Genomic DNA, 15,317 nt, shown 5'->3' with positions numbered 1-15,317 from the left:
CCTCCCAGGTTCACGCCATTCTCCTGCCTCAGCCTCCTGAGTAGCTGGGACTACAGGCGCCCACCACCACGCCTGGCTAATTTTTTCTTTTTGTATTTTTAGTAGAGACGGGGTTTCACTATGTTAGCCAGGATGGTCTCGATCTCCTGAACTTGTGATCCGCCTGCCTCGGCCTCCCAAAGTGCTGGGATTACAGGTATGAGCCACCGCGCCCGGCCAAACGTTAGCAAAGAATGGACAGCTATTCAGTCTTAATCAATTTGACCATAAGGTAAGATTCTCATAAACCTTTTACGAATTATTGTTAAAGAGCAGATCAATGCTCTCAGAAAACCCTATTGTGCTTTCATTCCAATGTTCAATTTAAATTTAGCCAATATGTTCACACACAGAATTTCTTTTACAAGATTAATTTTTCACAAACCTTCCACAACTTGCTCAAACCTTTAGCTTTATCCTACATAATTTAAAACAATCCTTTAACCCTCTAAACTAGGCAAAAATTTACATTCCCATGCCTTCTTGTAATCTTTCACTAAAAGCACATTTCAGTTTTCCTCACACACCTTCCAAGTAAAACTGCCTTTTTTTCATAAGTCTCAATTACATGTTACAGTGCTAACTCTTAGCAATTTTTCTTTTTTTTTTTTTTTTTTTTTTGGTGAAAAACCTGGTAAGTAAGCGATTATAATTATGTACTAGGTGTGGAGCCCAGGACACCAGACAGAAGTCCACATAACATCTGACTCTTTCCAGCATAATCAGGGGGAATGGCTAACTCCATATGTCCCCAGGCCTCACCTAGAATCTAATGGCTCCAAAGCAGGTAAGTTGAACAATTTTCAAAAGTTAAAGAAGCAGTTTATTACCTTAAAGAATTTAGCAAATCTAATATCTAACCTGCCTAATTTAGACCAAATGTCTTTATTTGACCAATAATCTTTAAAATTTTTTATTTCCCAAAGCTTACTAAAGTCACATGAACTAAAAGGCATTAGTTTTCTAATTCTCTGACAAAAAAAAAAAATTATTTAAGCATTTGCTATTTCTAAGCTAATTAACAAGAGCTCCTTCAAACATAAACGTTACACACATAACACATATAACTACACAGAAGAAGATCCAGTAGTTGTAAGGGTTTTCATTTGCCAGTTTTTAAGTTTCTTAATTAGATTACTGGCTTCAGGATGCAGTTCTCTGAGGAACAGGGCTAGGAAAACATGTAGTTTCTTGGGCCTAATAAACAGCATCTGGAAAGCAAAACAGATCCCAAAAAATTCAGGGTCCCATTTTCATACTGTTACATTAGGTAGCTAGCCAGGCATGAGCAGGGCAGGAAAGGGCTCACCTCCACCCAACCAGGAATGTCAGGCGATGATCAGGTGATGGTTTGGCAGTTGCCACACTGCCTCTCTAAAAATTATAATTGGTCATAGAGGCCAGGGAGAGACAATTTCCCAACGGATAAAAATGCTAGATATTGGTAATCAGCAGCTTCCAATAAAATACCAGGAATTGGGGGAGTGAGCTTTGGCGTCTGCATTATCAGATAAAATGGTGAAGTATGACCTTCCAGGGGCATTTCACCAGAAAAGGGAAGAAATCTTCAGGTGGGCAGGTGTACAACAACTTCTTTTATTTTTATTTGTTTTAAGATGGAGCCTTGCTCTGTGGCCCAGGCTGGAGTGCATTGGCAGGATCTCGGCTCACTGCAACCTCCGCCTCCCGGATTCAAGCGATTCTTCTGCCTTAGCTGGGACTACAGGCACATGCCACCACCCCCGGCTAATTTTTTTATTTTTAGTAGAGACAGGGTTTCACCATGTTGGCCAGGATGGTCTCAATCTCTTGACCTCATGATCCACCCGCCTCGGCCTCCCAAAGTGTTAAGATTACAGGTGTGAGCCACTGCGCCCAGCCAGGTATACAACTTCTTAAACACACCGCACAAGCTTACCTCCCAAGTTTAAGGAGAGCACTGTGCATGTGGGCAGCTCACCCTAAGGAAAGAGAATGAAGGGAATGTGGTGTAAGGCTAGAAGTGTGCCAGTGATATAGCAGTTAAGAAGAAATCACTTAGGCAGATAGGAAGGGTATGGGAGTCCTCAGTAAGGCTTTTCTTTTTGATGAAGAGCAGCCGCAAATCATTTTCTAACAAAGAGCAGGCTGCAAGATGGAAGCTTGCATGGGTGAATGCAGGCAGGAACTGAGGACTAGACATGTTCAAGGCGGAGGCTCCATCGTCCCTTCTCTTCCAGCCACATGTACTGTAAAGGAGCAGACAAGATGGCACTAATCAACTAGAAAGCCCATTTGCATAAAAACATTAGGGTGGGACGACAGCCTTCCCCATGCACTGTGTAAACGTCATACCTGATCAAACCAATCTATGAGCCCTGGGTAAATCAGAATTGCCTCCTCAAACTGGACTATAGAACTCGACACATTGACTGCTAGCTAGTCTTTTCCACTCAAGGCCCCTTCTTCTATACAGGAAGCTGTTTCTCTTTCTCTTCTACCTCTGTTCCTAAACTCCTTGTGTGTGTCCATGTCCTAAATTTCCCTGGCAGGCGACAATGAACCCCAGGTTATATTACCCAGACAATGTAGCTGCTTCATAATGGGGACCTTGCCTGGGATACCAAGGTATAGCATTCATCAGAAGAGTGAGTAGAGGAGTGGACTCCAACTCTGTCCTTTCATTTTGAGGCTCTCAGCCTCCATTTTAGAACTAAATCAAACCAAATACTGGGCCCCCTTTAGCCATTTAAAAATGATTAGTGTGGCTGCCAGCCTTAGAAGACTTGGGGGACAGGCTTGCTGTGGAGAACATGGAGAAGCCCCAGTATCCATAGGATGCTGGGCATATTGCCCGCCCCCCGCCACCTTTTTTTTTTTTTTTTTGAGACAGTCTTGCTCTGTCACCTAGGCTGGAGTGCAGTGGTGCGATCTCGGTTCACTGCAACCTCCGCCTCCCAGGTTCAAGTGATTCTTCCTGCCTTAGTCTCCCAAGTAGCTAGGATTACAGGCGTGTGCCACCATGCCCAGCTAATTTTTGTGTTTTTATTGGAGACGGGGTTTCACCATGTTGGCCAGGCTGGTCTCAAACCCCTGACTTCAGGTGGTCCACCTGCCTCAGCCTCCCCAAGTGCTGGGATTACAGGCATGAGCCACTGTGCCTGGCCTGTATTGGCCATGTTTAAACCAGTTTCCTTTCGTGGAGGACTTAGCCATCACATGGGGCTGGAAGAAGTCCTGGAGCAACTGAGGATTTCTGGCTGGAGCTACCCCTCAGTGTTATCTAAAGGCTTCTGGACGGACCCCAGTCTCTGACCACCCCAATGGGGTGTCAGTAACAAGATCTCCAACTTTCCTATCATAATTTCCTCTTTTCCTGTCCACAACGGTCATATAGCTTATCCTCTCTGTGTATGCAATGTGTGGGAAGTTTTACAGTTCAGGGAAGTAATCTTGTTTGGCAGGATCAGGGAATGTCATAGTAACTGGGGATACAGCTCAAGGGAAGGTGTCTTTGTAATTTTCTAGGAACAGAGGTTCCCCCACAACAGTGAGCATCACTCTCTGCCCTCGGTCTAGAGAGCACAGGGTATTCCCAAGTCTCTCTCTGCCCTTTGTCTGGTGAGCACATAACACTTCCAGGTCACTCTCTGCCCTTGGTCTGGAGAGCACATGGCATGTCAAGCTCACTCTGCCCCTAGTCTAGAGAGCGCAAGGTGTTTCAAGGTCAACAGTGCTCCCTAGTGGAATAGAGATCCTCTCAATGAGGCATATTGTTGGTCCTTCACGGAAACACCCTAGCTTCCCAGTTCTCTCCCCTTTGTGCACCCCTCTACCAGAAACCAGGCTTTATGCTGCTTCTGTAAACAGGAAAATTCTGCCTCCAACAACTAGGAGTAAAATATACTCTGAAGCCAAATTTTAGTCTCGATACTGTCCCTTCAGCAGGAAAATGGCCATTTAGTCCCTATGTTCTTTTACAGCACCTATTCTGCCTCCAATTAGAATGGTACTTAATTAGTGAGGGGATTTTAAGTTTGGAAGTTAACCAGAACCATTCTTTAAGGGTAAATGCTTTAGCATGGGCCATAATAGCAGGATATAGTGTTCAATCTCACACGCCCCTTCCATTAAAGGGGCTTTGTCCAACTATTACGTAGTTTTTCTTGAGATCCATTTTTAGGGGAGCCAGGCCCATCACATAAGTCTAGGAAGTCAAAGGGAAATCACAGGGAGAGGACTAGAGCCACTTGGGTGAGTGTGACTAGCCCTAGTTGCTTAGTTCCTCTTCTTCCATGGCTGGGGGGGGTCATACCTGCAACCATGGATGGCATGTGCCAGGACCCAGAAATCATGGATGGAAAACAGCAGGAGGGGACATCCCCACTGTCTTCCTCTCCACCCTGGGTCACACCAAAAGAAAGGAGACTAAAGGGATGCCCTTTTCTCACTTCTTTTTCTAGATGGGTACCATCTTCAACCTGCACTCCCCTGGAGTGCATTCTGAAGCACTGGGACCCCTTTCACCCTGAGACTTTAAAGAAAAAGTGGCTCATTTTGTTTTGCACAAGGACATGGCCTTTTTACTAGACCTTTTGCAAGCATTCTAAAATCAACACAGCTCTTTTAGCAATCTTATCTGGCAGGCCCAAAGAGAATAATTCCCCAAAAGTAAAAAAGCAACTTCTGGGGGAACCATCTGAGGAAGCTATCGGGTGTCTCAGCCCTTCCACTCCCCCTTATCTGGAGCCACCACCAACCACACCACCAGCTCTTCCATCTCTACCATCTCCAAAATTTCCCACTCCCCCGGCTTCAGTCTTCCCCCTACAGGAAATGCCCAATGGAGCTGATGCTACTAGGTTTCAAGTTCCCTTCTCATTACAGGATCTTAAGCAAATAAAGGGAGACTTAGGCTGATTTTCTGATGACTCTGATAGGTATATAGAAGACTTCCAAAATAGGTATTTGTCCTCTCATAGCGGGATGTTGTGCTGCTCCTAAGCCAAACCCTAACCGCAGCTGAGAAGCAGGCAGCTATGTAGGCAGCAGAGAAATTTGGGAGATGAGCAATATGTCTCCTATAGTAGGTCTAAAAGGAAAAGGGACAATAGAAAAGGTGAAGAAATAGGGGAAACACCATCCCTAATAGGAAGAGAGGCAGCACCTCTTGACAACCCTATTTGGATCCCCTAGACTTTTCTATGGTATCTTTCCTTTCACAGTTTAAAATAGTTCTTTTACAATGTTCTTCCAACCTGGGAAAAGCTGACTTCCCCAAACCTTAAAATGCTCCACTTAGGGTTGAGCTAGGAGGAAGGGAACCCAGAAGCCTGACATGCTGGCAAAAGGGTAAAAGTTTTTTTTTTTTTTAACCAGTCAAGCTTTTGTCTTCTCTCTCCCTATGCAAACTGGCAAAAAGCATAATAAGAATCATTGTTTATATTCTCTGTAAAGTTTTAATTAATGAAAAAGGATTTGTGAGGTTGGTCTTAAGCTGTAGTCAATCTGGTGTACTTTGTGAGTCTTTCTGTATGGTTCTGTCAAAAGAAAAAGGGTACCTTAGGTTAGGATGCAGGCCCAGGACCCCATAAGCCTGCTGTTCAAGCCAGCACAACAAAATGGTCAGTAACAAACTAGGCTACAAGTCTCCATCTTGTTTCATGTCCTTGGGCACATGACCTGTAACCACATGGCAATACTTTGTTTTAGTCTCTGCCATTTTACAATGGTGGCTGTATTCTTGTACCAAGTCAATTCCTGGGTGAGGGCCACAAAATCAGATAAGCCAGTTTGTCAATCTGAGTGGTGGCAGCTGATCCATCAAGGGCAGGGTTTACAAAATATCTTAAGCACCAATCTTGAGAGCAGTTTGGGGAGGGTCAAAATCGTGTAGCCTCCAGCTGTGTGACTCCTAGGCCATGGTTTCTAATCTTGTGGCAAGGTTCTTGGTCCAGTCCCCAGGCAAGAGGGAAGTATATCTTAAGAAAGGGCTGTTATCATCTTTGGTTCAGACTATAAACTGTAAACCAGCCTCCTCCCAAAGTTGGTTTGGCCTATGCCTGGGATGGACAAGGACAACTTGGGGGCTGGATGCAAAATGGAGCTGTTTGGATCAGATCTCTTTCACTTTCTCAGTCACAATTTTGCAATGACAATTTCAAAAGCTCCTTATCACCCTTTTGAAAATACCTTTTATACTCATGGTTAAGTCATAACCTAATTAAGGCTCATTGGTTTCACCTGTGAGGTTACATTTTGTGACGTTCAAAAATTGAAAATCTTAACTGCTTGGCATGGTTAAAGTTGAGTAACAAGGGATTTAAAACGATTTTCTTAAAGAGTGCCCAGGTTAATTAAAAGTGGATATTCAATTTATAGGTAGATTTGAAAGGCCTTTATGTTTTTCTCTTCTTGGATCTTGTTTTTTTTTTGGAAAATGGTTTTTTTTTTTTTTCTTTTCAGTCAACCGAATTATTTTTCTCTATTTTTTTTTTTGTCTTCCCACTCTTAATGCATGCATGAGAGGTCCTAAGATAACTTCTGGTAGCATGGGACTCCTAGGGAAAAACAGAGGAGGCACCACAGACCCCATTTTGGGAAAAAAACCTCTGTTTTCCTCATGAAACCCCAGGAATTAAAAGCACATAGTTCTCTCTTAAAATCAAAGGTTCTGTTGTGTTTTGCATTGTGTTATCTGACAATTTTGAGTTTTGGGGGTATTAAATTACTTCACATTAGGAGAGAGTTTTGGTGTGTAATAACTAGGTAGGAAATACAGTTTAAGGGATGGCTAATAATAGTTATAAATCAGAGAAGCATGCTCTTGGCCACCTGAAAGATATGGAAACATCCCCACCCACAACTAAGAGATGAGACTCCCATGGGGGATGGGCTGATTACAAAATAAGCCAATTGGCTTTGTGTTGCCTTGCAATGAAATACACAGTAGAAGCACTGCATTGTCTTCTCTCATAGTATTTCCCTCCTTTTGGGGATCCAAAGTCCAGTATAAAATGGATCCTTTAATTTTAGAGATCTGTCTTTGCCATCAGCTGTGCCTGCTTATTAGACCCTAAAAATGCATGTCGCCTTGCCCTGTTCCTCCAAGGGCTCCACCCTGAAGCCAGTAATCTAATCAGGAAACTGGCAAATGACAAATCTTGCAAGTGCTAAATCTTCTTCTGTCTGTGCATATATATGTTGTGTGTAATATCTGTAAAAAAGAGCTGGCTCTAAAAGAAAATAAGCACTTAAATCAAATATATTTTTAGTTCACATGACTTTAATCTTTAAGAAATAAAAATAGGCTGGGCGCGGTGGCTCAAGCCTGTAATCCCAGCACTTTGGGAGGCTGACGTGGATGGATCACCTGAGGTCAGGAGTTCAAGACCAGCCTGGCCAACATGGCAAAACCCCATCTCTACTAAAAATAAAAACATTAGTTGGGCATGGTGGTGGGCACCTGTAACCTCAGCTACTCGGGAGGCTGAGGCAGGAAAATCACTTGAACCAATGAGGTGGAGGTTGCAGTGAGCTGAGATGGTGCCACTGTACTCCAGTCTGGGTGACAGAGCAAGACTCTGTCTCAAAAAAAAAAAAAAAAAAAAGAAATAAAAATAGTCTTAGGGATTATTGATAAAACGCAGGTGTCATCAAAAAGCAAATAGGTGGTCTAAATCATACAAGGTCAGATGCTAGGTTTGCTAAACGTTCCAAGGTTGTATACTGCCTGCTTTACAGATAGGCAAGGCCTGGAATACATGGAGTTAGACTCTGGAAAGAGTCCGACCTTATCTGCACTTCTGTCTGGATCCTAGGCTCCACACCTGGTGCATGATTGAAATTGCTTACTAACTAAGTTTTCACCAAAAGTAAAAGTTGCTAAGAGTTAACAGTGCAACATGTATTTAAGGTCACTAAACAGTTTTATATGCAAGGCATATAAAAACAGTAAAATATGTCTTTTAGTAAAAGATTATAAGAAAGCATGGAAATGTAAATTTTCCCAGGGATGAGGGATTATCTTAAATTTTATATGATACAGCTAAAGGTTTAAGTAAGTTGTGAAAAGATGGTAAATATTAATCTTGCAAAAAATGTACAAACATTAACTACATTCAAAAAGGTATTATGTGGTCTTTTTATAAATTGAGCATTTAAATAAAAGCACAGCAAGTTTGTCTTAAGACACTAATCTGCCCTTTAGAAAAAGGGGTTATAAAGGATTTGTAAAGATTTCACCTTATGGTCAAATTGGTTAAGATTAGATGGAATCCTTTATAAGGTTTCATTTAAATAAATTTGGATTAACATTAATAAAGTAATGCAAGGGTAAAATTTGGCCTTGAACAGGATTTTTGTGCAATAGTAAAGGCTAATGAACGGTTTTTGCCTTTTGAGTCATCATTTTGCTAAAATAATTTATGGAAATCTGGAATTCTATTTTATAACGTCAAGTGTTTTAAACCTTTAACATTTAACAGGCACCCCAAAATCAAACTTCAAGTTTCAAAATTGTCTTTCTTGATGTCTGACTTTCTGGATGGTTCAGAGGGTCCCTGAAACATCCAGAGAAGTGGTAAACAGGATTATGTGGTATGTTTAGTCACATGAGATTGCCAAAATGATGTCTAATCTTCTTTAGGTTGTATTTTGGTGAATAATAATAATATATGTTCCAAAATTGTATGGAATTTCTAAAATTCTAATGTCTAAGTGTATGCTATCAATCATAATTAAGGGTAAAGTTTTTATAAACCATGGAGATAACTAAACTTCTTTGTCAGTCATGTATTTAACTGCAACTACCCTGGAAATTTTGTCATTCACAGACAATTGTTGCCTTGCTTTGTTCTTTCTCAAAAGATGGGTTATAATCAAGCTATAAGACTTTATTATTATGTTTTTTTATTTTCTTTTGAGACAGAGTTTCTCTCTTGTTGCCCAGGCTGGAGTGCAATGGCACAATCTCAGCTCACTGCAGCCTCCGCCTCCCGAGTTCAAGTGATTCTCCTGCCTCAGCCTCCCAGGTAGCTGGGATTACTGGCATGCGCCACCACGCCCAGCTAATTTTGTACTTTTAGTAGAGACAGGGTTTCTCCGTATTAGTCAGGCTGGTCTTGAACTCCCGATCTCAGGTGATCCACCTGCCTCAGCCTCCCAAAATGCTGGGATTACAGGTGTGAGCCACCACATCCAGCCCAAGCTATAAGACTTTAACAGTGTTCTCAAATGCAGTTTTCTAATAGCTTTGAAAATTGTAACATTGGAATCGAGAAAAAATGCACAGGACTCGTAAAGAACTGACATGTTCACCAATGTTAAGCAAAATGAATTAACTAAATGGACTGCACTCAGAAAGTTAAAGCAACCTTTTTGACTTTTGCTTAGAATATTTCTGATCCTTGTTTTGTTTTTCAGCATCAAGGAAACTGATTTTGAACTATTTATGGTCTTTAATAATTGAGTAAGTTATACTTCTGTGAACAAAATTTGGAGCATGTTTGTTTCTCTCTGCCTGGTTCCTCTAGAATTTGGAAACTATCTGTGTGTTTGGCAGTTATATTGCCAAACAACTTATGGTGATATAGTTGTTTGCATCGGTGCAATAAGAATCCATTTTTATTTTTTGACAGGACACAATTGGAAAAATTGGTTATTTTATCAAGGCTTTGACTGGAAGGGTATGCTTCCCTTTAAGGAGTCAACCTGTACCTGCAGAGCTGATAAAAGCCCCATGGGGAGAACTGGCCTCATACCTTGTTTACACAGTCCTAAATTTCCCTAGTGTGTGACAACAAACCCCAGGGTACATTGTCAGGGTATGTACCCCAGACAATGTAGCTGCTTCACCAGTATATAAAGTCCTAGGATCAAGGTTAAAGGGAATACTTGACCTCCAAAGTGCCCACTTTGGTCTCTTCCAAGTGTACTTTTCTTTCTTTCCTCCTCTAAAACTTTTTCATAAACTTCCACTCCTGCTCTGAAACTTGCCTCAGTCTCTTTTTCTGTCTTGTGCCCCTCAGTCAAATTCTTTCTTTTGAAGAGGCAAGAATTTAGGTTCTGCATACTCATTTGGATCTGCTGCCAGTTACTTGGATATTCGCTACTCCTAACAATACTGGATCCTAGATCCCCAAAAGAGAAATGCTATAGAACAAGACAGTAAATGATTTTTTTTGTTGTTGTTGTTATTCTGAGACAGAGTCTCACTCTGTCACCTAGGCTGACGTGCAGCGACACAATCTCTGCTCACTGCAACCTCCACCTCCCAAGTTCAAACGATTTTTCTGCCTCAGCCTCCCAAGCAGCTGAGACTACAGGTGTGCGCCACCATGCCTGGCTAATTCTTTGTATTTTTAGTAGAGACAGGGTTTCACTATGTTCACCATGTTGATCTCGAACTCCTGGTCTGAAGTGATCCACCTGTCTCAGTCTCCCAGAGTGCTGGGATTACAGAGGTGAGCCACCACGCCTAGCCAGAGCAATGGTTTTACTTTGCATTTCATTGCAAAGCAACCCAAAGCTGATCAGCCCATTTTGTGATCAGCCCAGCTCCATGGGACTCTTATCTCTCAGTAGGAGGTGGGGACATTTCCATACTTTCTACATGGCCGAGAGCATGCTTCTCTGATCAAAACATGCAAAGAGCCGAGTATTTCCCCATAACTGCCATTTGCCATCCCCAAAACTATATTTAGCCTTAGATTTTGAGAGGGATCTATGTGCTTTCAATTCCTGGGGTTTCATGACGAAAACAAGTTTTTCCCATAACAGGGTCTGTGGCTCCTCCTCTGTTTTTCCCCAGGGGTCCTAGACTGTTAGAAGTTATGTTAGGTCTCCTCATGTGTGCATCAAGAGTGGTAAGAAGACAAAATGGAGAAATACAATTCGGTTGACTGAAAATAAAAAACAAAACTTTTTTTCCCAGAAAAATAAGAATCAAGAAGAGGAAGAACCATAAAGGCATTTTAAATATACCTGTAGCTTGACTATCTGCTTTTAACTAAGCTGACTTTTAACCAAATATCTTATTATGAAACTCTAGCCAGAACAAACAGCAAATATTTCTGGCTTTTGAACGAAGGTAACCTTTTCTTTTCAGAGAAAGGAAAATTCAAAATGGGAAGTCAGAAGTTGTTCATGGAGAAGAAGAGAATCAATAAATGGCAAAACTCACACCAGATATCACACCAAACAGGACTCATTCCCTAAGCCAGGAATTGAACTCTGACTGCCATTATAAAAGACAAAGCCTTAGATGCTAAGCTACAGCATTGGGTGGTTTCATTGTTCTTCCCACAAGGAGCCTAGAGCAGTCCATTTTGAGCTTGCAATGGTTTTTAACTTTTCAAGATAATTTTTAGAGCTAACTATGACACCAACCCCAAAATTCCTGTTCCCTGGATGGCAAAGACCAAGAGAAAGTATGGCCATGTGGTTACAAGGTCAAGCTCCTAAAGATGTAAAACAAGATGAGGGGGAAACCTCATCCAGTTTTTTTGTTGTTTTGGAGACCAGCAGCAAAGTTTGTCACTGACCAGGCTAACTTGAACAGGAAGTTTATGGGGGTCCTAGGCCTGCATTCTATCACATGATACCACTTCTTATGACAAAACAATGCAGAAAGATGAATTCAAAGCACAAAGTACACCAGATTTGCCACAGCTTAAGACTAGCCTCATGAATCCTTTTTTTCATTAATTACAACTTTGTAGAGGAGACAGTGATTTTTGCCATTCCTACAACCAGTTTGCATAGAGAGAGAGAGAGGCCAGAAGTCTGACTGGTAAGAAATTCTTACCCTTTTGCCAGCATGTCAGGCTTCTGAGTTTCCTTTCCCAAGCAGCCCTAGCCATGCTGCTTGCTGCACGATAGCCCTGGGGGCCAATCCACATTACAAAGGAAACTTACTTTTTTCCATTTCGTGAAATCATAGGCAACACCGCTCAATTTTGCAAGGTGCTGCCCAGAACTTGCATGGGGTTACCAAATAAACACTTTCCATTCTGGTCAGAGCAAAATTCATGTGACAAAACAGACATTAGCCACTCTGCTTAGCACCAGATATTGAACTGTCAGGGCTCAAACTTGCCCCTGGTTGGGCCCTGTCATCTTTGATCCATTCAAAGTTGATTATAGAAGTTTCAACATGTGGGTCTCTGGGCAAGATGGTTGCTCTGAGTAACAGAAAAGAGAGGAAAGGGAAAGGAGAAAGAGAGAGAAAAGCATTGGCTGTGCTGAGGTGAGGAAGACTAGGAGCTCAGGGAGGCCAGAGAAAGGCCAACCCCTTGCAGTGACACTGAATCAAATGTTCAGGCAGCCACTTGTCAGTCGCAAAGCGATCTCTTAAAGCAGTCCCATGTTCCTGTACACACCTAATCCTGTCACCCACAGCTATCAGCAAATAGTGCAAGGCAGATTAAATTCAAAGAGAATAGTGCTTAACATTCTGTAGTGCCAAATCCATTTTTAACCAAGAGGGACTTTACTGAGAGGGACCTCTAACCCCCTAAATCTTATGAGGGACTCTAATCTTCCTAAGTTGGGCCTCAAACCCAATCCTATCCTTTACCGAGGTAAAATGTACCTCACTACTTACTCAAAGTCAGCCAATTGGTGCTGCAATCTATTTCCTTTGGATAGGGATAGTAACTAAACCAAAAGTTTAGCATATTTAAATTTTTAAATCAATTAGTTGCTTAAGCTTTTTATTTACCTTTCGTAAAGTCTTCATTTATTTTTATTTTTATTTTTTGAGATGGAGTCTCACTCTGTCACCCAGGTTGGAGTGCAGTGGCATGAACTTGGCTCATTGCAACCTCCACCCCCTGGGTTCAAGTGATTCTCCTGCCTCAGCCTCCCAAGTAGCTGGGACTACAGGTGCCCGCCATCACGCTTGGCTAATTTTTGTTTTTTAGTAGAGATGGGGTTTTGCCCTATTGGTCAGGCTGGTCTCAAACTCCTACCTCAGGTGATCCATCCACCTAGGCCTCCCAAAGTGCTGGGATTACAGGCATGAGTCACTGCATCCAGCCTCATAAAGTTTTTAATAAAAATACTGATTTTTTAAAGAAGTTTTGTACATCAATAGGCATCCCTAGATGAGACTAATTTGGGAGCCCTTATTTTCAAATTCATTTCAGTACAGTGTTGTTTATTTGTAACGTTCCACTGTAAGTTATCTTTAGTAATATTTTGCCATTTCTGTAAAACTTTGCTGCTTCCAGGGTATAATACTTACGCATGTTTAAGCTGGAAGGAACTCAGTTCTTCAGAAGTTAAAGATCTTGGCAGGTGTGGTGGCTCATTCCTGTAATCCCAGCACTTTGGGAGGCTGAGGTGGGTAAATAACTTGAAGCCAGGAGTTCAAGACCAGCCTGGCCAACATGGCAAAATCCACGTCTCCTCTAAAAATACAAAAATTAGCCTGGTGTTGTTTCACACTCCTGTAATCCCATCTACTTGGGAGGCTGAGGCACGATAATCTGTTGAACCCAGGAGGTGAAGATTGCAGTGAGCCAAGATCATGCCACTGCACTCCAGCCTGGTTGATGAAGTGAGACTCTGTCTCAAAAAACAAAACAAAACAAAACAAAACAACAACAACAACAACAAAAACCGAGAAAAAGAAATTAAGGATCTCATTTTTACCTCAAATATTGGCCTTGCTCTCAGGTTCCCTTGATCAACTCAGACAATTTTTTTTCTACATAATGGCACATGAAAAATGAAACAAAGGGGTAGTACACAAAAGTCCATGAGAATTTCCAAAAGCCAAATTTTACATCCCCTGCAACATTGCCATTTACTACCAGTTTCTTTCTGACCCAGTCAGATGTAGGAGGCCTCTAACTGGATCCAAGATGATTAATTCCAGATCCAATCTGATCCTGAACCAAGTCCAGTTTCCATCACAACTTCCAAATCCAGATTAAATCAGAGACTTGCTCAAAGAAACTCAGTTCAAAACAAATCCGTGGAGCTTCAGCATCTGAGGGAGACCTTACCATGATCCTCAACTACTCTGAGAGAGAAACGAACACAATGGGTCCAGCAGATACCTTGCTTGGTCACTCAGCACTCCTGGGGGTCTCGTTAGAGGCTCTAGTTCAGATCCCACTTCTGACACCATCTGATGAAAGAAAAACTTCAGCCAAATTAAATTTAAAGACATTTAATTGAACAATAAACAATTTGTGAATTAGGCAGTCTCCTGACCCAGAGTAGGCCCAGACTCCAGCACAGCCATATGGTGAAAAAGATTTATTGACAGAAAAAGGAAAGTGATGTACAGAAAATGGAAGTGAGGAACAGAAAATGGAAGTGAGGAACAGAAACAGCTGGATTGGTTATAGCTCAGTGTTTGCCTTATTTGAACATGGTTTGAACAGTTGGCTACATTTGATTGGCAGAAACTCTGGGATTGACACAAGGTAGGGTACAGTCTGTTTACACCTCCACTTGCAGCAGTTCATGATGTACAGTAAAACCCTTAGGCCAAACTTAAAATATGTGAGGAGACAGCTTTAGGCTAAACTTGATTTAACAGTAGTGAACTATCACTTCCACGTGACACATATAAGAATAGAGCTATCACAGGCATGCAGAATACAAATGGCAGGTCCAAAAGATATTTAATTGCCATGTTTTTTAAAAAAATTCTTCTCTTACTTTAGATAATTAAAAGTTACAAGAGCCAACAAAAGGTGAAGGCCTTTTCAAAAGAGAAAGACCTGAATTTTTGAGATACTAATCTGAAGAATTTCAAAGAGACAGATTATAGAATTTAAAAATTAAAAACCTCTTGCATTAAGTATAAGTTAATATTTTAATAAAATCTTGTTTTAACCAATTATTTAATTTTGTATTAGCATATTTTTAAATACCAAAGTTCAATTTTAAAAAACTATTATAATTTTCTGTAATTAAAACCAATTAATCACATAATACTTTTATAAGTTCCCTTTTTACTAACCTTATTACAACTTAGACCATTCACAACATACTTGGACCTTCTGGTTTGTCCTAAATATTTCACTTTCTTAAACAACCCAGTCATTTTATTTTAGAACAAAAATTCACTAGGCAAGATTCTTTCTCATATAAAATTACTTTCCTGTTTGCCTTAAATACAAAAAATGCCTCTTTATATTGATAATTTTCTTTACATCTCTTATTTCCTGCTTCCTTTTACCTTGTTTTACACATAACCTTTAAATAAGCTTTGAATTAAATAAACATATTGAACTTTTTTTTTTTTATTTTTTTATTATACTCTAAGTTTTAGGGTACAT

General features: G+C 41.0%; 2 annotated features.

The window, feature by feature from the left end:
• Positions 3,611-3,877: a transcriptional cis regulatory region, noted in NCBI's record as "candidate enhancer chr11.5910 targeted for multiplex CRISPR interference". NCBI's record gives its function as "positively regulates FEZ1 gene expression with high confidence in K562 cells {active_cell/tissue: K562}" and the evidence as "EXISTENCE:mutant phenotype evidence [ECO:0000015][PMID:30612741]".
• Positions 4,509-5,042: a transcriptional cis regulatory region, noted in NCBI's record as "candidate enhancer chr11.5909 targeted for multiplex CRISPR interference". NCBI's record gives its function as "positively regulates FEZ1 gene expression with high confidence in K562 cells {active_cell/tissue: K562}" and the evidence as "EXISTENCE:mutant phenotype evidence [ECO:0000015][PMID:30612741]".

The sequence above is a fragment of the Homo sapiens genome, chromosome 11 (assembly GCF_000001405.40).
Source record: "Homo sapiens chromosome 11, GRCh38.p14 Primary Assembly".
Lineage (NCBI taxonomy): Eukaryota > Metazoa > Chordata > Mammalia > Primates > Hominidae > Homo > Homo sapiens.
This window is presented reverse-complemented; position numbering and strand designations above follow the sequence as displayed.